The 19489-nt window shown below is 43.5% G+C and overlaps 1 annotated feature.

Moving 5' to 3' along the window:
- Window positions 17398-18014: an enhancer, noted in NCBI's record as "H3K27ac-H3K4me1 hESC enhancer chr8:20186237-20186853 (GRCh37/hg19 assembly coordinates)". NCBI's record gives its function as "activates a minimal SCP1, AML or CMV promoter by ChIP-STARR-seq in primed H9 embryonic stem cells {active_cell/tissue: H9 hESC(primed)}" and the evidence as "EXISTENCE:reporter gene assay evidence [ECO:0000049][PMID:30033119]".

The raw sequence follows: 19489 nt of genomic DNA, 5'->3' as shown, positions 1-19489 counted from the left end.
TGCTCCACCTTCAGATCACTAGTGACAACCACAGAGTGTGCTTCATCAGTCCTGTGGGCATGGGCGGCAATGCAAAGGGAAACATTCAGTAGGGACATGAAAGATCATTAGAAGATGCTAGAAAGGAGTGGATGCACATAGCATTCGCTTCTGAGAAAACTGGGGTGGCAGGCAAGGCTTCCACCATCCCTCGTGCAGGTAGGGAAACGAGACTCTCAGGGATATTCTTAAAGAGAAGAACAGAAGCTTACAGCTATGTCTGCAGTACAGCTTGGTGCAGGTGCGGCTGTGCACTAAGACAGCATGAAGACACAGGCCATCGCTATTAGTTAAGGCCAAGCCAATGGCAAGGCATGAAATGAACTGGATGCAAGAATAACAGGACCACAGGCAAACTCAGTGAGAGTGGAAATTGCTGGCATTGCCCAAATAGATTTTCAAAAGCAAAAACTTTTGGAGAAAACTTCACCAGTTGTTGGTACAGTGGTCACTTGAGGAAAATCAGCATTTTATTCATGTTGTCAAAGACAAGCATAAGCTAGGAGGTGGTGTAAGCCCTAGCCAGCTTCACGGCCTATTGATGTGAGATGAGCCAACAGGATAGAAAAGCAGGAGAAGTGGGGCTTTCCTGAAAGAGATTTCACATGAAAAAGAAAGGAGCTGGAGCCACAAGCTCTCAATGCCATCAGGTCATTTTAGGATTTGATTGCAGCCAGCACAGCTCACCCATGGGAATCACCAACTGCAGTGGAGCATGGATTGTAGTGGGTAGTGCGTATGCAGGTACGCCACATTGATTATTTTCCTCACGTGTTTTCCAAGGCCTCTCAGGATCTACCATCTCCCATGACTCCTCCGACTTTGTCCCCTGCCACTCTCCATTCTCCCCAGCCCAGCTCATTTTTCTTTTCTTTTCTTTTCTTTTTTGAGACAGAATCTTACTATGTCACCCAAGATGAAGTGCAGTGGTGCCATCTCAGCTCCCAGCAACCTCCACCTCCTAGGTTCAAGTGATTCTTGTGCCTCAGCCTCCCAAGTAGCTGGGATTACAGGTGCCTGCCACCATGTTTGGCTAATTTTTGCATAGGAACAGGGTTTTGTCGTGTTGGCCAGGCTGGTCTTGAACTCCTGACCTCAAGTGATCCACCTGCCTCGGCCTCCCAAAGTGCTGGGATTACAGGTATGACCCACCGTGCCCAGCCCCCAGTTCATTTTTCATCTATGGCACTGGCCAACCAGTTGTTCTATGAACACCCCACAGGCTTGTGCCTCAGGGCCTTTGCACATGCTGTTTCATCTGCTTAGATGACTCTTTCCCTAGCAACCCAAATAGCTCACTCTCTTCCTTTTGGTTTCACCTTTCAATCAGGTGACCTGATCTCTCCCTTAACACCCCTCAAACACTGCATGCTCCCCTGGAAGCTGCACTCCTGAGTACCCTTCCCTGGCTCGATTCCTTCAGATGCATATCACCACCTGACATCGATGTGTCTACATGTGTGTGTGCATGTGTATATATCATCTATTTGATCCTCATAGAACACAAGCTCTATGAGAACAGGCTATGTTTTGTTTATTGCTGTATCTCTGTGCCTAGACCAGAGTCTGCAAAATCACTTATTGAATTGAATTCTCCTCCTTTGGTTTCCAAATGATTCCCACCTAACTGCGTCTAGTGATTTTCTTTGTTGATATTCTTTGTTTGTTGGTGTACTTTTTAAAAACATTAAAAAAATTTTTTTTAGAGACAGCTCTGTCGCCCAGGCTGGAGTGCAAATGGTACAATCATGGCTCACTGCACCCTCGAACTCCTGGACTCAAGTGATCTTCCCACCTCAGCCTCCCAAGTAGCTGGGACTATAGGCTTGTGTTACCATACCTAGCTCATTTGTTTGTTTTCTGAACCTACAAGCAGAGTGTGAAAGGACCTGCCAAGCAATCAAGGCCGTTGAAAATAAGACATCCCCTCTATTCCTGCCACTCCCCCACGTGAACCTGATTCCCCAATGACAAATAAGTTTCCAACTTGTTCTTGGCTCTGGGCCCCAACTTGTGCTGGGTTCCAAACCAAATATGAACTTCCTTCTGCTTAATTAAATCATACTCAAACTTTCATACTCTGCCTACCACTTCCTTTTTTTTTAATCTGTTCACCAATTTCTCCTTTCTCTGGGTCTTTATGTCTCTTTGACATTGTTTAGCACTAAACGTTTAAAATATGCTAACCTCTTCTTCCTTATCAGACTATTGTTGTCTGGGGATAGAAACCATGGCTTCCACATCTTGCACATCCTCCAGCAGATGCACACCATGCAGGGAGACAGTGCTTCCATGTTGGCCGATTTTCCAAAACATTAATAAAATCATAGGGCAGGGTGGAACGGCATTGCTGCTTCTTGCTGATGTGGCTCCTGCTACCTCCATGTGGGTATCTCTGATCACTGAGTGAGATAGTGAAAAGCACAGCAACGGGAACGTCTGAGGCAGGGATCCTGTGGCCTATTTGTTCAGTCACTCAGTAAGCATTAATTTAGGGGCCAGCAATGCACTAGCTGATCTAAAGACAAATTCTAGAATTGCAGAACACTGAGATAGAAGGAACCTTGGAGAGCATCTTGTCCAAGCCGTGGTGATAGAGGCATGAGGCAGAGAAACTCTACGCAGACAGGGACAGGTCCCCAGTGGAAACCCCACCTTCAAGCCAAAAGTAGCCTGAAACTGGCAGCCCAACGTGAGAACTTCTATTCCTGTTTGCCGGCTCTCTCTCAATTGGTTCTTTCTGAATAAAGTCTTTTTACAAATTGAGTGTTGCCCTTTCCAAAACTACTTTTACCCCCAACCATCCTGTGCCTATAAAGACCCCAGGCTCAGCCAGTAAGAGAGGAGAAACAGCTGGACATTGAGAAGAGGCAACTTGACTTCAGAGAAGCAGCTGGACATTGGAGAGAGATTACCTGACTTCAGAGACATGGCTGGATGTCGGGGAGAGGTGACTTGACTTCAGAGAAGTGGCTGGATCACAGGGAGAGGTGACTTGACTTCAGAGAAGCAGCTGGACATCAGAAAGAGGTGACTTGACTTCAGAGACAGTGGCTGGACGTCAGAAAGAGGTGACTTGACTTTGGAGGAAAGAGGCAGTGATGCGATTTGACTTCATGGGAGAGTGACCCCATCCCATCCCAATTCCAGCTCCCCCCTCCACTGACAGCCATTTTAATCCTTCAATAAAATTCTCTGCATTTACCATCCTTTGATTTGTCTGCATGACCTCATTCTTCTTGGGCACTGGACAAGAATTCAGGAGCCACCAAGTGCAGATACCCAAAAAGGCTGTCACAGTGGCTCTTTGCCCTCCCTGGCAGAGGACAGCTGCCCCACGTGATGAGGCAAAGGGCCCACTGAATTGAAAACACATTGCTGTCCACAGACTGCAGAGCTAAGAGAGCATTGTGACATGCCCTCTGGGGCCTTGGGGTCACAGGCACCCCCACCTGGATGCTGCTACAGGGCCTGCACAGAGTTTGCTCCTGCCAGCACCTAAGCAGCTGGCCAGTTCCTGCACTCATTCAATTCTGTGCTCCCTCCTGTGAATGGTTGAGCATGGCGGGCTGACTAAACAGGGTACCTCTGTTGTGAGTCTCATGAAAAGGTCAAGAAAATATCCTGCACCATTGTTAGTAATTAAGGTGCTTAGTAGCAAGCAGCAGAAACTGGGAATGCTTACATCACCAAAAAAAGGGAACATCTTCAAAGGACAATGTATGTGGTAGGGGAGCAGGAGAACCACGGTCCGGGAGCAAAGCCTGACATCAGAGCAGGTCATGGGAGAAAGCGGGTGCTGCTATCGTGGACACTGGACTTTGCAGCTTGCACTGCAGAGACACAGCCCTGTCTGGGACAGCTACCACCTGCAGGAGGACTCACCACTGTCCTCACTTCCTTCTGATTCATACCCTGTCCAATGGGCTTCTGATCAGGAGAACCGAGTTCACCAATCTCCACCCGAGCTGCAAGGAAGGGCAGGAAACTGGCAAATTTCACATTCTCAATGAGACATAGACTTTTTCTCTGACCTAGAATTTTTAGATAGAGGATTCCTTAAATGGAGAAAGGGATTCAATGGCAAATGTCCTCTTTACCTCTCAAAGCACAGCACTCACAACTGTGTCTAATGCTCAGGTCACATTGGAAGTTACTAGTAGCTGAGATGAGAATCCAGGTCTCCTGACTGAATGATTCACATTCTTCCTACTTATTTGTGCATGCAAGAAGCAACTGGTGGAAAAATTACAGGGGTGAAGTAGGACAAGTCGCGGGGAGCAAAGGATCAATGATCCATGTCCCTGGCAGCTATTTTAGGAAATAACTGCCTCTTAGATTTGATCATCACTCTGCCACCCTTCACAACGCCATAGCTCAGACATCACCTCGTCTGTGAACCTCACTTCACTGGTTCACTGACTTAGCACTGCTGCACCATTTACCATTTATATTGCAGTTATCTGCATTTGTATCAGCTTCCTCATTAGACTGTGAGCTACTTGAGGACAGGCATTAACTAAGGCTTATTTATATTTGAATACTGAGTGCGGACAAATGGGAAGGATGAAGTCTTGTGCTGAGATAGATCCGTGCAAGGAAGCCTGGCAGTTGGTACTCATATCTCATTCCACAATTAATACATTATGTTCATGCTTAACCTTTGTGCCTTTCTTCTACCTACAATGGACTACTCCACCTCCAAGGTCCCTCTAAGAATGGCCATTCTGTGTGTGCATATGTGTTTGTGTACATGTGTGAGTCTGGGGTCCTGGGGCTTTGTTGATTCATTTATTCAGACTAGAAATATTATGGCATATAAAGTGTGTTCAATAAATAAGGATTGTTAAACTGGAGTGAGGAGGGCAAGTGTTAATACCTCCATTTAACAGATGAGGAAGCCAAGGCCCAGAGAGATTATACAAGGTTCCAAGACCTAAGCTTCCATTGCATGTCAGTAGCAGAGCCTGCTTTCAATCCAGTGCTCCTTCTGTGGTCACCACTGAGCCCTGGCCCATGGGTCCTCCAGCACTCAGATCTGCCCTACAATGCTCGCAGTGGACGTTGATAACAGTACCCCCATCTTCCAATACTTCCTGGGTTAATACTACAACTGTCATTCATCTCTTGTATCCAGAGTGCCTGAAATCAGCTTCTTGAAGCATCTTGTAAAGGACCCCAGCCACATGTCACAAGTCACAACTCATAGATGCTGGCACTTGAGGTGGCCTCACAAAGTCATCACCAAAGACTCTTGCTGATGGGTGGGAGAGAGCAAACGGCAGAGTTGGCAAAGTAGGTGTGTGAGACCAGGAGACAGAGGTCTGAGCAGGGCATCCCCCAGTGGGGTAGAAAGTGCAGGCAGATGCCTGACGGCAGGAATCAAGCTCTTGGCATCTAGGCCCCTTGCAAACAACAGGAACAGCCCTGCGGAGAAGCTGAGTCAGCAGAACAAATGTCACAGGGATGAGCTACGAGCTCCTGGAACAAGATGTGGCTTCCTTCACCTTGGAATGGAAATACTTCAATATCTGTTTGAAAACCTTTTCAAGCTCTCTCTGGCACCCTCTACTCTTGATTTCAAGTTTGCCTAGCCTCATCACTGGCCCCCACATGACAGGTGCATGGCCACATGATGTTGCCATGCTCAAAGAAGCCTTCCTCTGAATCCTCACATGCTTTAAAGCCCAGCTTGGGTGTGATCTCCCCCAGGAAACTCCTTGGACACTTGCTGATATCTTAGAGCAATATTTGTCTCTACCATTGGCTTTGATATTTCTTCCTGTTGTATGTATCCTACTCTATACTAAGCTCTGAATATAAGACATGTCTCCAAGACTGCAGTATTATACTAAGCTCTGAATATAGGACCTGTCTGCTAGAATGCAGTATTATACTGAGCTCTGAATATAAGACATGTCTCCTAGACAGCAGTATTTGTCTCCCGATGGCTGATCATCTCAGACATTTCCTTTTCCTCTACAAGCCCCTTGCACAATGTTGTGCACATAACAAATATTAGCAAAACAACCAATTGGAATTGTATCATCAAATTCTACACTCTACAGCATTCATGTGGCCTCCAATAAAATAATCTATTGATTATTAGCAATCTCTTTTTAAAAATGTTACCTTGTTGTCAATTAATACATACTGGGGCAGATGTCAGAGGTTGACTCTACCAAACAATCCTAGACAACTCTCAGTTGTCAATGCTGGAAAAACTGAGATACTCAAGTCCCCAGCATCCCTTGGAGTTGGGGAGAGGGCAGAGGGCACAGGTTCCAGTTCTGATGATAAGACGAAAGTGGTGACCTGCCATGTTGCTGCTTCCTCCTTTGGAGTAATTCTGCCCGGAATGCAGGCATGATCATGACCTCTAGAACTGCAGCATCTTCTGGCTCATGGGGTGAATGTGAGGAAAAGGCTCTAAGACTCTCAGAGATGCTGGTGACATGCTGAGCAGAGACCTCAGGATAAGGAGCCAGCCCTTTGAGAGACTTGGGTGTAGGAAAGGGCTCCCAGTTCCCCCAATGACATTATCAGTGCTGAACCAAGGCCAGGTGCCATCTACACTCAGATTTCCAGTAAATGAAGTGGGGAATCTATTTGATGAGCAACTGAAATCAGCTTTCTGTAATTTGCAGGCAGACAAACACATTCCTACTACACACATACATTGTCAAAAACAGAAAAGCACAAAAATGAAAAATACCCTGTCCCCTACCACCACAGATAGTTTGTTGCCTATGATTCAATATTTTTGTAAATGTTACATTTTTATAAAAATGAGATCTTTTAGTCATATGGTTTTCCACAACTATTTAACATATATTATAAAACTTTTAAACCTTGTCATCAAGAAGTATTTCACAGCATTATTTTAGATAGTATATACTATAATTTATTTTATTGACCCCCTTCCACAGTGATATTGTCCATATCAGTGGACATGAGTTTCTTTCTAATACATCACTTTCATGAATGTAGTTATAGAAATGTCTGGCTAAATTTTTGCACAACTTGAAAATGATTTCAAGATTTTCTCCTAGTAGTAAAATTGGTAAAGATATGCATATCTTCAATGCTTTTCTATTCAATGTTAAATTTTCCTCTATCAATATTATATTACTTTTCTCGATAGCATAAATGATAAATTACAAAATATTTAATATTTATAAAGACCCAAGAATGTATAAAAAATAAAGAGAAAATGAATGCCTAAAATAACATCAAACTAAATTACCAAGCTTACAAGTATGTCAGAGTTTAAGATGTCTGCGTAGGGATTCAGAAACTTATCCCTTCACACCATCACCACCACAATAGCCTCTTGCCCTTTTTCTTACTTTAAAAGAAAAAAAATTCCACACACTTGGATTCTAGAAATAAAAAACAGTCAAAGACGACGAAAAACATTCCCTAGGGAGTTTTGTATGATGAGAGGTTGGAGGGACAACTATTTGGAGCAGAGTTTTCTGAAGAACAGGGCCAGATTGAGAGGTGATAGAAGGAGTAGAACATGGAGACAGGATAATACGGAGAAGAAGAAGATCTTCTGGGTTAGAGGTGTCCAGGAGTTGTTGAGCACTAGAGAATAAGTGAAGACACAGCATGTTAATAAGAGAGTCTCTAGACTGTACTTATGTCTCCCTGAATGAGTTTGGAAGCCGTCAGTAAGAATTTGATTTTCTGTTAAATTGTTCTTTAGGTGCAACACTTTACTGCTAGGTTGTATCAGTTAAGGCTTTTACATGGGTCATGCAAGATACACTTTACTCATCTTTAGCTAACAGCCACTACTGTCACTTATCCCTCCTGCTCTCAACCGTCTCCCACATGATGGCAGAGACCATCAAAACACCACTCCAGGTATGCCTATCAGGCCTCCAGCATCCACAGTCCTAGATTCAGGAGAAAAGCAAGCAAGAAAGAGAGCAGGAAGTCCTCTTTTCTACTCTCACATCTTTTAAAGGTCTACCTTTCTGTTTTCCACCTAAGACCCAAGAGAATTTTTCTCCTCACAAAGAATGAGCACTCACTGCAGGGGATGCCAGACTCACCCAAAAGGTGTGGCCTTCCTCAACAGGCCTAAATTTTAAAAAGTCAGAATGGAATGCAACACAACCACTCCAATATTCACACCAGGGACTAACTAGATGATTTAAAAAAAAAAAAAACATTAGTTTATTTTTCAAATTGACAAAAGTTTTATTTATTTATTGCATACAACCTTTTGTTATGAAATATCTATACATTGTGGAATAACTAAATTGAGTGTATTATATGCATTTCCTCAAATACCATTTTTCTGTGTGGTGAGAACATCTAAAACCTACTCTCTTAGCAATTTTCAAGGATACTATACATTGTTGTTAACTACAGTAACCGTGTTGTACAATAGATCTATTCCTTCTATTTCACTGAAATTTTGTGTCCTTTGACCACTATCTCCCCAACCTTCCCAGCCTCCATAACTGTTCTTAATGCCAAGCCACCCTTCTCTCCATAGGGTCACCTACATGGACCAAATGAATATTCTTTATACTCTTCCTTTTTCTCTCCACCCGAAAATCCATTTCCTGAGTTTCTTACCACACCTCCATCACAAAAGCAGGGATATAAGTCTGTTTCGTGTTCTTAATATATGAGTATGTGTGGTAATATCCCTTCTTTCATTTCTGACATTGGTCATTTATGTCTCTCTGTTTTATTTCTTGAGATCAGTCTAGCTAGAGATTAGTCATTTTTATCTTTTTAAAGAAAAAGGTTTTGTTCTTTTCCATTGATTTTTATTTTCTCTAATTTTACTTTCACTGAAATAAATGAAAATGTCTGCTCCTTATTTTTCCTTCCAGGGATTTACTTTGGGTGAGATTTAATTTCTTTTTCTTCCCACTAGCTTATTAAAGTGAAATTGTAACTCACTTAGGAGAGTTACTATTGTCGTGGGTTTTTTGGGGGGTTTTTTTGTTTTTTTGTTTTTTGTTTTTTGAGATGGAGTCTCACTGTCGCCAGGCAGAGTGCAGTGGCACAATCTCCACTCCCTGCAACCTCCACCTCCTGATTCACGTGATTCTTCTGCCTCAGCCTCCCAAGTAGCTGGGATTACAGGTGGCCGCCACCATACCCAGCAAATTTTTGTATTTTTAGTAGAGACGAGGTTTCACCACGTTGGCCAGCATGGCCTCGATCTCTTGACCTCTTGATCTGCCCACCTCGGCCTCCCAAAGTGCTAGGATTACAGGCGTGAGCCACCACACCTGGCCAGATAGTTTCTATTGCTACATCTTCAAGTTTACTAATCTTTTCTTTTGTAGAGTCTAAACTTCTATTAATCTTATTCAGTGAATTTTTCATTTCATATTTCTATTTTTATTCCATGTATTTATTTTATATATGTATATTTCTTTCTTTTCTTCATATGTTCCTTTGAATTTTTGAGCAATTTTATGCTAATTTTGAGGTGGGAGGATAGCTTGACCCCAGGAATTTGAGGCTGCAGCGAGCTATGATCACACCATTGCACTCCAGCTCTGGGTGGCAGAGAGAGGCTCTGTCTCCAATAAGAACTAACTAAATAAATAAATATATAAAAGTCCTTGTCTACTAATTTTATCATTTCTGTCATTTCTGCATCTACTTTCATTGACTGATACTTCTCCCCATTATGGTCTCATCTTTCTGCTTCTTTCTGTGTCTATTAATTTCATATTGGGGGCTAGAAATCATAATTTGTATTTCGTGTGTTGAATTTTATTGCATTCCTTTAAAAAGTGTTGAGAGTGTTACATTTTATTCTGGCAGACAGTTAAGTTCCTTATGGATTGGCTTGCTCCTTTCAAGGCTTGTTTTTAAGCTTTATAGGGCAGATTTAAAGAAGCCCTTATATTAGCACTAGTTTAGCCCCCCTATTATGACGAGACCCTCTGGAGCTTCCATTCAGCCTGGAGGCTCAGTAAGCACTCTCCACTCTGGCTGCTCAGAACTAAAACATCTTGCAGACTGACTCTGGCAGCTATTCAATCTCCTGCTCCCTGGTTGTTCCTTACCTGGCCTGTGAGAGTTTCACCCTATGCTGTGTAGCTTAGTATTGAGCAACAAATTTAGGAGAATTCTTATGTGGGTTTCTGGATCTCTCTCTCTCTCTCTCTCTCTTTTTTTTTTTTTTTAGGCAGAGTTTTGCTCTTGTCGCCCAAGCTGGAGTGCAGTGGCTCAATGTCGGCTCACTGCAAACTCCGCCTCCCGGGTTCAAGCTATTCTCCTGTCTCAGCCTCCTGAGTAGCTGGGATTACAGGCGCCTGTCACCACGCCAAGCTAATTTTCATATTTTTAGTAGAGATGGGGTTTCACCATATTGGCCAGGCTCGTCTCGAACTCCTGACCTCAAGTGATCCTCCCACCTCGGCCTCCCAAAGTGCTGGGATCACAGACGTGAGCCACTGCGCCCGGCTGGATCTCATTTTTTTTTTTTTTTTTTTTTGAGACGGAGTCTCGCTCTGTCACCCAGGCTGGAGTGCAGTGGCGCGATCTCGGCTCACTGCAAGCTCCGCCTCCCAGGTTCACACCATTCTCCTGCCTCAGCCTCCCGAGTAGCTGGGACTACATGCGCTCGCCACCACGCACGGCTAATTTTTTTGTATTTTTAGTAGAGACGGGACGGGGTTTCACCGTGTTAGCCAGGATGGTCTCAATCTCCTGACCTCGTGATCCACCCGCCTCAGCCTCCCAAAGTGCTGGAATTACAGGCGTGAGCCACCACGCCCGGCCGGATCTCTTTTTTTATGCAGCTCCCTCATCTCTTACTGTTCCAGAATTTCTAACTGCGTAAGCTTCCCCAAATTCTATCTTCTGTTTGTACCACTCAGAAAGACTGTCGTGTTCTCTTGGGATCACCTCCCCATGCTAATGTCCAGAAAATGCCCCAGGTAGAAAGCTGGGGAAATCTTAGGGCTCACCTTATTTGTTTCATTTCTCTTAGGACCACAATTCTATGCTACCTATTTTCCAATGTGAAAAAACTTTTGTCTCATATATTTTTCCAGTTTTCCTTTTGTTTACAGCAGGAAGGTATGCATGGTTTCAGTTATTCCAAAAAGGACCGATGTGAAAAGCTTCGTCTGTTTTGTAAACTAAGCCACAAAACCCTCCTAGATTTGAACAGCAGAGAGCTCCAGAGATCCACTATGCCTCCTCCAACAGGAATAAATGAAAACCCCAATATGAAATATAAGGGAGAAAATTCAGGGCTGCTTTTACTGCCACTGTCTTTTACCTAGAGAGCTTTTCTTGGCTAAAACTTCAAAATTCTCTGTACATTATTTGGTTTTCAAATATCTGTCAAGAACCTGATTTCAAATGCCCAAGAGCAAATAGAAGAAGTGAGCTCAGGCTTCATTCGGTGAAAGTGAGATAAAATGAGTCCAAAAATTTTTATTTTTCTTTGCTTAACATCGTAAGTCCTTCGGACTGACTCCTTACTTCAAATTAGTACACGCTGCCTGCCTGTTGGAAGCAAGTCATCGTAACTGCCTTCTGTGTAAGGATCTCATAGAATGAAGGTGATAGCACCAATCTTCATTTCTGAAATATCAAAGAGAATTCACACTGTTATCTTGGCCTGGTTAGACCAGACACTGTTATCTTGGCCTGGTGGTTATCTTGGCCTGGTTAGACCAGACTAAACCTCAACAAATCCTTGCACTGCTTTTATCCTACTTCCTCATCACCTTAGTCCTGGACCATGGTCACCAGTAATTCCCATTCCAATTCAACCTCCTCATGCTGTGTGGTCACGTTTCCTATAATTCAACTCTAACCATGTTATTGCCTAGTTGGAAAATGTTTGTCATTCCTCATTGCTATAAAATTCTCCCTAAATTTGGCCACAACCTTCTTTTCCAATGTTTTTCCCCATGATTCTCCTTCACTGCATTTCAGCATTAATTTCTGGTTACTGTGCATGAATCATAATTTCCCGGCTTTCTCTCCCTCTCCCAGCTCATACTTTTTTCCACCTCTCTGGGAAACTTATACTGAAAATTTGAACATAAAAACATAAAAGTCCCACTGTAAGACTACCACATTCATGAAACTTTTCATATTCTTAGCTACAAGAAATCTCTCTCTCCTCTCTCATAGTACTTAATCTTATTTATTATATGTATCATTTTCTACCTTACATTTTAAAACCACCCCAGCAAACCCCTTGAGCATGGAGTCTGTATTGGACTCTGCTTTGTGGCTCTGTAAGCATCTAATGCACTGATCTTCACATAAGGGTGCTCAATGAAATATTTATTGAGAGTGTGAGTGAATGAATGGTAAACTGAAAACCTAATACAGTCATGAATCACTAAATGGTGGGGATATATTCTGAGAAATGCATCTTTAGGTGATTTTGGCATTGTGGGAACATAATATGTCATATAGAGTACACTTACACAAATCTAGATGGTATAGCCTGCTACACACATAGGCTGTGTGGTATAACCTGTTGCTCCTAGGCTATTAACCTGTAACAAACAGCATGGCACTGTACTGAATACTACAGGTAGTTAGAACACAATGGTAAGTATTTGTGTATCTAAACAGAAATGGTACAGTAAAAGCACGGTACAAAAGACAAAAAATAGTATATGCGTATAGGGCACTTAACATGAATGAAGCTTGCAGGACTAGAAGTTGCCCTGGGTGAGTCCATGAGTGAGTGGTGAGTGCGTGTGGAGGCCCAGGGTATTACTGTACATGACTGTAGACTTTATGAACACTGTACACTTAGGCTACACTACATTTAATTTTTTAAATGTTTCTTTCTTCAATAATAAATTAAACTTAGCCTACAATAACTTTTTTACTTTATAAAATTTATAATCTTTTAAAATTTTTAAGAGTTACAGCTCTCTTTTGTAATAATGCTTAGCTTAAAACACGAACATATTGTACAACTGTACAAAAATATGTTTTCTTTTTATCATTATTCTATGTCTTTTTTTTTTTTTTTTAACATTTTGTAAAAACTAAGACACAAACACACACTTTAGCCTAGACCTATACAGGGTCAGGATTATCAATATCACTATCTTCCACCTCCACATCTTGTCCTGGTGGAAAGTCTTCGGGGGCAGTAACAGGCGTGGAGCTTTACTCTCCTAGGCTAACAATGCTTTCTCCAGGAAGACTTCCTGAAAGACCTGCCTGAGACTGCTTTACAGTTAACTTTTTTTTTTTTTAAAATAAGCAGAAGGAGTACACTCTAGAGCAAGGATAAAAACTATAGTATAGGCCAGGCGCAGTGGCTCACGCCTGTAATCCCAGCACCTTGGGAGGCCAAGGTGGGCAGATCACAATGTCAGGAGTTTGAGACCAGCCTGGCCAATACGGTGAAACCTCGTCTCTACTAAAAATACAAAAATTAGCCAGGTGTGGTGGCACATGTCTGTAGTTCCAGCTACTCGAGAGGCTGAGGCAGGAGAATCGCGGGAACCCGGGAGGCAGAGGTTGCAGTGAGCAAAGATCGCGCCACTGCACTGCAGCCTGGGCGAAGAGCAAGACTCCGTCTCAAAAAAAAAAAAAAAAATCTGTAGTGTAGTAATACATAAACCAGTAACATAGCTGTTTATTAGCATTATCAAGTATTATGTACTATACATAATTGTATGTGCTATATTTTCATATGACTGGCAGTGAGGCAGGTTTACTTACATCACCCTCACAACACCTCAGTAATGTGTTGCACTACATTAGGACAGTTACAGCGTCACTAGGCAGTAGGAATTTTTTAGCTTCTTTATCATCTTAAAGGATCTCCATTGTATATGAGGTCCATTGTTGACTGGAATGTCATTAGGTAGCCCATGACTATTCCTTGCTGTTCCTACTGGTTAACTTGAGATACATTACTCTGAATCATATGAAATTGCTGTAGGTAAAAAATAGTCAAATACCAGGAATTTCAAGCGGTTCAACCTGATACATCTTCTACTCTATTTTAGTGCAAATGTCTGTTTAGCAAATTGTATTACATTATTAAATTCATAGGATATCTAAATTAATCATGGGCAAGGGATGCTCATTCATTAAATTAAAATGTTGTCATTACAGGCACGAGCCACTAAGCCCAGTCTTGCAGTTATGGAGATAACTGCAATAAGAGAACTGAGTATAAAACGGACACATATCTGTTAAAGAGCATATACCTACAAGAGTAGGTGCAGTGGCTCATGCCTGTAATCCCAGCACTTTGGGAGGCTGAGGCAGGAGGATCGCTTGACCCCAGGATTTTGAGACCAGCCTGGGCAACATAGCAAGACCCTGTCTCAAAAAAAAAAAAAAAAGTAAGAAAAGGGGTGTATATGGAAAAGAATAGATAGATCAAATCAAGCTAGCTTACATCTACAAGTGAAGTGTCAGCAGGATGTTGGGGCATCTCAGAGTCTGAACAAGAGGCACTGGTAATGGTGGAGTCCGGGCAACTTTGAAGCCCTCCGCAGCAGGTCTTTCTGGGTTTTTCTTTCTAGAGCTCTAACTTCCAGACTGCTTGAGTTCCAAATTCTTGATGGAGACCACCTGAATGACTCAGCCTGCTGGAGGGGGCCACTGCTGGAGGGGGCCACTGGTGATGAGAAAGCTGTCTGCAGGATGGCCCTATAACCCAGTAGCTAGAGAGAGACAGTAGGTAGAGAGAGATGATTTTTTACAGAAAAAGCGCACAGATTAAAAGAAATTATGCCACTCCTAGGGAGACACCTACTCTGCTTTGCTACCAGGAGAAAAGTTTAGGGAGCATCAAGCTAGATGGTCTCAATGGCGTCTTCTAACTCTAGCTTTTCTCATTCAATAAATCTCCATAGATAGCCCAAAGCTTTTTTTTTTTGTTCTCCGAGCTAGCTCAGGGTTTTTAAAAGTTGGTCTGTAGGTGGCTGGTCTGCTGTTCGGAATGTCTGAGGTAGAGAAAGATACGGAAGTGGAATTATTGGCCCAAGTTGCCAGTGAAACACAAAAGAACTCATTTCAGCTTTTTCTCTATTGTTTTTTCTCTTTTTTCTTTTCTTTTCTTTTTTTTCAGACAAGGTCTTACTCTGTCCCCTAGGCTGGAGTGTAGTGCTGTGATCACAGCTCACTGCAGCCTCGACCTCCAGGCGAGTGATCCTCCCACTTCAATTTCCTGAGTAGCCAGGACCTCAGACACACACCACCACACCCAGCTAATTTTTGTGTTTTTTTGCAGAGATGAGATCTCCCTATGCTACCCAGGCTGGTTTCAAACTCCTGGGCTCAAGCGATCCTCCTGCCTTAGCCTCACTCAATTCTTTATAAACCATTTTTTTCATTTTTTTTTTATTTTTTATTTTTATTCTTATTTTTTTATTTTTTGAGATGGAGTCTCGCTCTGTCATCCAGGCTGGAGGGCAGTGAATCTCAGCTCACTGCAAGCTCCGCCTCCCAGGTTCAGGCCATCCTCCTGCCTCAGCCTCCTGAGTAGCTGGGACTACAGGCGCCCACCACCACGCCCAGCTAATTTTCTGTATTTTTGGTAGAGATGGAGTTTCACCATGTTAGCCAGGATGGTCTCCATCTCCTGACCTCACGATCTGCCCCCTTCGGCCTCCCAAAGTGCTGGGATTACAGGTGTGAGCCACCACGCCTGGCCCATTTTGTTCATATTTTTAAAGCATCTACTGTATGACAAAATCTAGCACTTGACAATACAAAATAGTGTGGATACTGTGAGAAATACAAAGAAATCTAAGGAATAGTCTCTGCATTCCAGAAAGTTATCATCTGATTAGGAAACCAAGATCAACACACTGGAAACATTAATAACCATGCAAGCTTAGTGGCTAAGGGTGCAAGTGTGTCTCCTCAAATGCAAGTGCAAACATATATGTTATTTCATCATCAAACATGACATAGACATGAACCAAAAGAATTATTTATTGCGTGGGATTATTTGCTACCGAAAATTGGCAGCAACCAGACCAACAAAATCCTGCAGGAGCTATTTGCCAAGACTTGGAAATAGAGTTCTTCAAAGCTCACCTCAAAAGGTGACTGGGGCAGGACGTGGTGGTTCACGCCTGGAATCCCAGCACTTTGGGAGGCCAAAGCGGACAGATCACTTGAGCTCAGGAGTTGCAGACCAGCCTGAGCAACATGGTGAAACCCCGTCTCTACCAAAAAATAAAAAAAAAAAAATTGGCCGGGCGTGGTGGCATGCACCTGTAGTCCCAGCTACTGAGGTAGAAGAATCGCTTGAACCCAGGAGGTGGAGGCAGTGAGCAGAGATGGCGCCACTGCACTCCAGCCTAGGGAATAGAGCAAGACTCCGTCTCAAAAAAAAAAAAAAAAAAAAAAAAAAGGTGACTGGATCTTTATTCTTTTGAGTCTGATCCATTCTCAATGCTGAAAAACACTGAGTCGTGTCTAAGCTTTAGGCTGCCTCATCATCCCCTTCCCATTAAGGAAAGACAGCAAGTATTCCATAGTCTCAACACATAGGCTTTAGATGAGAACGAAGGCCCAGACAGGGAGGAATCGACAAGAATCATGAATTAGGAAACAGAAAACCTTGTTTCTGGTCTTACCACTGACCCTAACCTATGGCAGTGCATTGAACAAGTTACTTAACCTCTCTCTGTCCTAGTTTTGGAGCATTTGTAAATCAAGGTGTGTAGGAAAAGCTTTAAATTCAAGCTTAAATTCGAGCTTAAATGTAAAACCCTTGGGGCCTTTAAATTCCATTGTAAGCCCCCAAGGAAATGCCTTGTTTCATTAAATACCTGTGGGCAAAATTGCAAACTGAAGTTCGAATCTTGAACCTCCAGACTGTCTAATCCTAGACAATTAATGGTGCAACATCTGCTCCGTTTTTCTAATCCCCGGCCCTATATCTGACTACACAGAACACATGCCGCCACTCTCTGATGCAGCAGAAGTCTGTCTGAAAATAAGCTAAACCAGATCCTTTTGGGGACTTGCTCATGGCTCCCACTGAATTTTAACTTGCAAAAAGCTCTCCCTTGCGGGGGCGTTAAGAGGATCTAATGTGATACTGTACATGAGAGCACAGAAACCAGCCTGGCTTCAGAAGCGTTTCTACTGGAAGTTTATTGTTGAAAGTTGTGGGGTTTGATAGAGCATTACCCAGGGACTAATCCCGCCGCTCCCAACCCTCCTCCTCTTCCGCCTCTGTTTATGCTCTTAGTTCCGGTGCCTCCGACGATGACAAAGAAGGGTCAGCGCTGACTCACAGCAGCGCTGTGAATACCATGACCCTGGTGGGCTGCAGGGCCTGAGATGTTTATTTCATTTCCCTTTCATTCCGTACTCAGCTGGGCTCTCAGGGAAGGAGAGGGAAAGTAGCCCACACTGACTAACCAGTCAAGAAACACTTACTGAGCCCTAGTCAAGTACTGCGCATTACGAGAAAACATGAGAACACATCGAACGCCCAGGGCTTTAGAGCTGTGCAGGGACTTGATGAGAACCCCATGCCCCGGCTTCCTTAAACAAGGTCACCAGCCCTGAGAAAGAACACTTTGGCTGTGTTGGAGTGTGTGGGGGCTGGGAGAGGCCTGGGATGGAGGTTGCTGGAAAGTGCTTATGACCAAGGGGCCTCAGTGCATTCATGCATTCCATTTAAACATGTCAACATATCCTCAACCTGGGCATAGGGGCATGCACTTGCAATCTCAGCTGCTCAGGAGGTGGAAGTGGGAGGATCCCTTGAGTTCAGGAGTGCAAGACCAGCCTCTAAAAAATAGCAAAAGAATGAGACCCTATCTCTTAAAACAAAAGAAAAAATATATATCTTACCAACATCATCAGTCATTAGTCAGTGGACTGACTTTTCTTCAGATTTGAATGCTTTGGAGGGTATAGATGAGTGTCCTGAACTAAACACTCTTTCACAGAAAGAAGTGGGACAGATGGAAGAAAGAAAGTGGCGACTGTTTATCCCTCACTCCTCTTCTCCAGCCCCCACCCCAGTAACAAATCCAGAAACCCCAAACTCTGAGGGGCCACAGTTACTGTTTTGTGTGTTTGTGCAATTGGGCAGCTGCCTCTACCCTATCAAAACGTGCAGGGGAGACGATTCCCATAAAAGCGGAGGAAGATGTTACAAGTCCAGCCCCATGGGACCATGCCTGACGGCAGAGCCAAGACGCTGGGAGTTCAGCACAATAGGGTGCCTCCACACCACGCTATCTGGGGTGAGCTTTCTGCCCAAAGGAGGAAATAAGAACAGCTGCTATCAATTGCAGACCACTCACCAGGGGCCAGACACCATGCTAAATGCTTTAGTTGCATTATCTCCTTAACTCTTGATACCACCACTACCCACGCCCTCCAGGGAGCTATAATTCTCTCTAATAAAGGCAGAGAGCAGTGAAGTGACTTGGTCCAGTTAACACAGATAGCAAGAAGAGGAGGGAAGATGCTTATCAGGTTTGTCTAATTTCGAATTCTGTGTTGATCTATTCCTGATACTGCTTGCCAGAAAAGAAGTTGGAAGCTCTAGAAAGAGGGTGGAGGAGGGGAGAAGATGATGACAGAGGCAGGAGGGAATATAAGGGCGAAGCCTATTGATCCAGTCTGGGTTCAGCAAGGGGAGAGCTTCAGCTTTGGAACAGGATAGAGCCTGTTTCCCGGAAGCACCCTTTAGGTCAGGGAACAGCACAAAGTGGTAAGATCTGTCTTCTGTATCTGCATCTGTAGACGAAGGTCTTGGGAAGAGATTCTCCAGGAACTGAGAGTAATTAGCAGACTTTCTGAGAACTCGCACTCAGAGTTCATGGAAGCGTCCTAACTTTTCCAGACATAATTGCAGATCGAGGCACTTGTACACGGCTCCCACACCATGGTGGGCAACGACAATAAGAAGGGACCACCAGTGACAAGGGCAGGTCTGTGAGGTAATCCAATGGTGACAGAGTATCCAACAGCCACAGGCATAGAGGGAAGGGGACCGGCTTTCCAGTGCCTGTTGCTGTTGTTGGTATTTCTGGACCCAGCCTTCCCCAAGCGCCTTAAGAAAACTGCCCGGGGAGGTGAACTCTCCTCTGCCCCATGCAGTCTTCAGAAACATCACTGAGAAGGAGACCCTTTTATTGTTTTCAATGCTCTGAAGACTTGAATGGCTGGAGGACCTCAATCAAGTGCAAAATCAGCAAGGTACACTCCTTTACTCATTCTCATTGCACAAAGAAGTGCCAAACATGATGTCTACCTTCAAGATGTAGGCATTTTTGTTTTGTATCATTTTGTTTGTCTTTTAAGAGAGTTACTGAGATGTAATTCACATACCTTACAATTCACACAATTGAAGTGTACCATTTAACGATTTTTAGTATAGTCACAGAATTGTGAAGCCATCACTACAATCAATTTTAAAATATTTCATCACCCAAAAAGGAGCCCTGTACCCATTAGTAGGCAATCCCCATTT

Source organism: Homo sapiens, chromosome 8, assembly GCF_000001405.40.
Source record: "Homo sapiens chromosome 8, GRCh38.p14 Primary Assembly".
Classification (NCBI taxonomy): Eukaryota; Metazoa; Chordata; class Mammalia; order Primates; family Hominidae; genus Homo; species Homo sapiens.
Note: the sequence above shows the minus strand (reverse complement) of the source record. Positions and strands in the feature narration are given on the sequence as shown.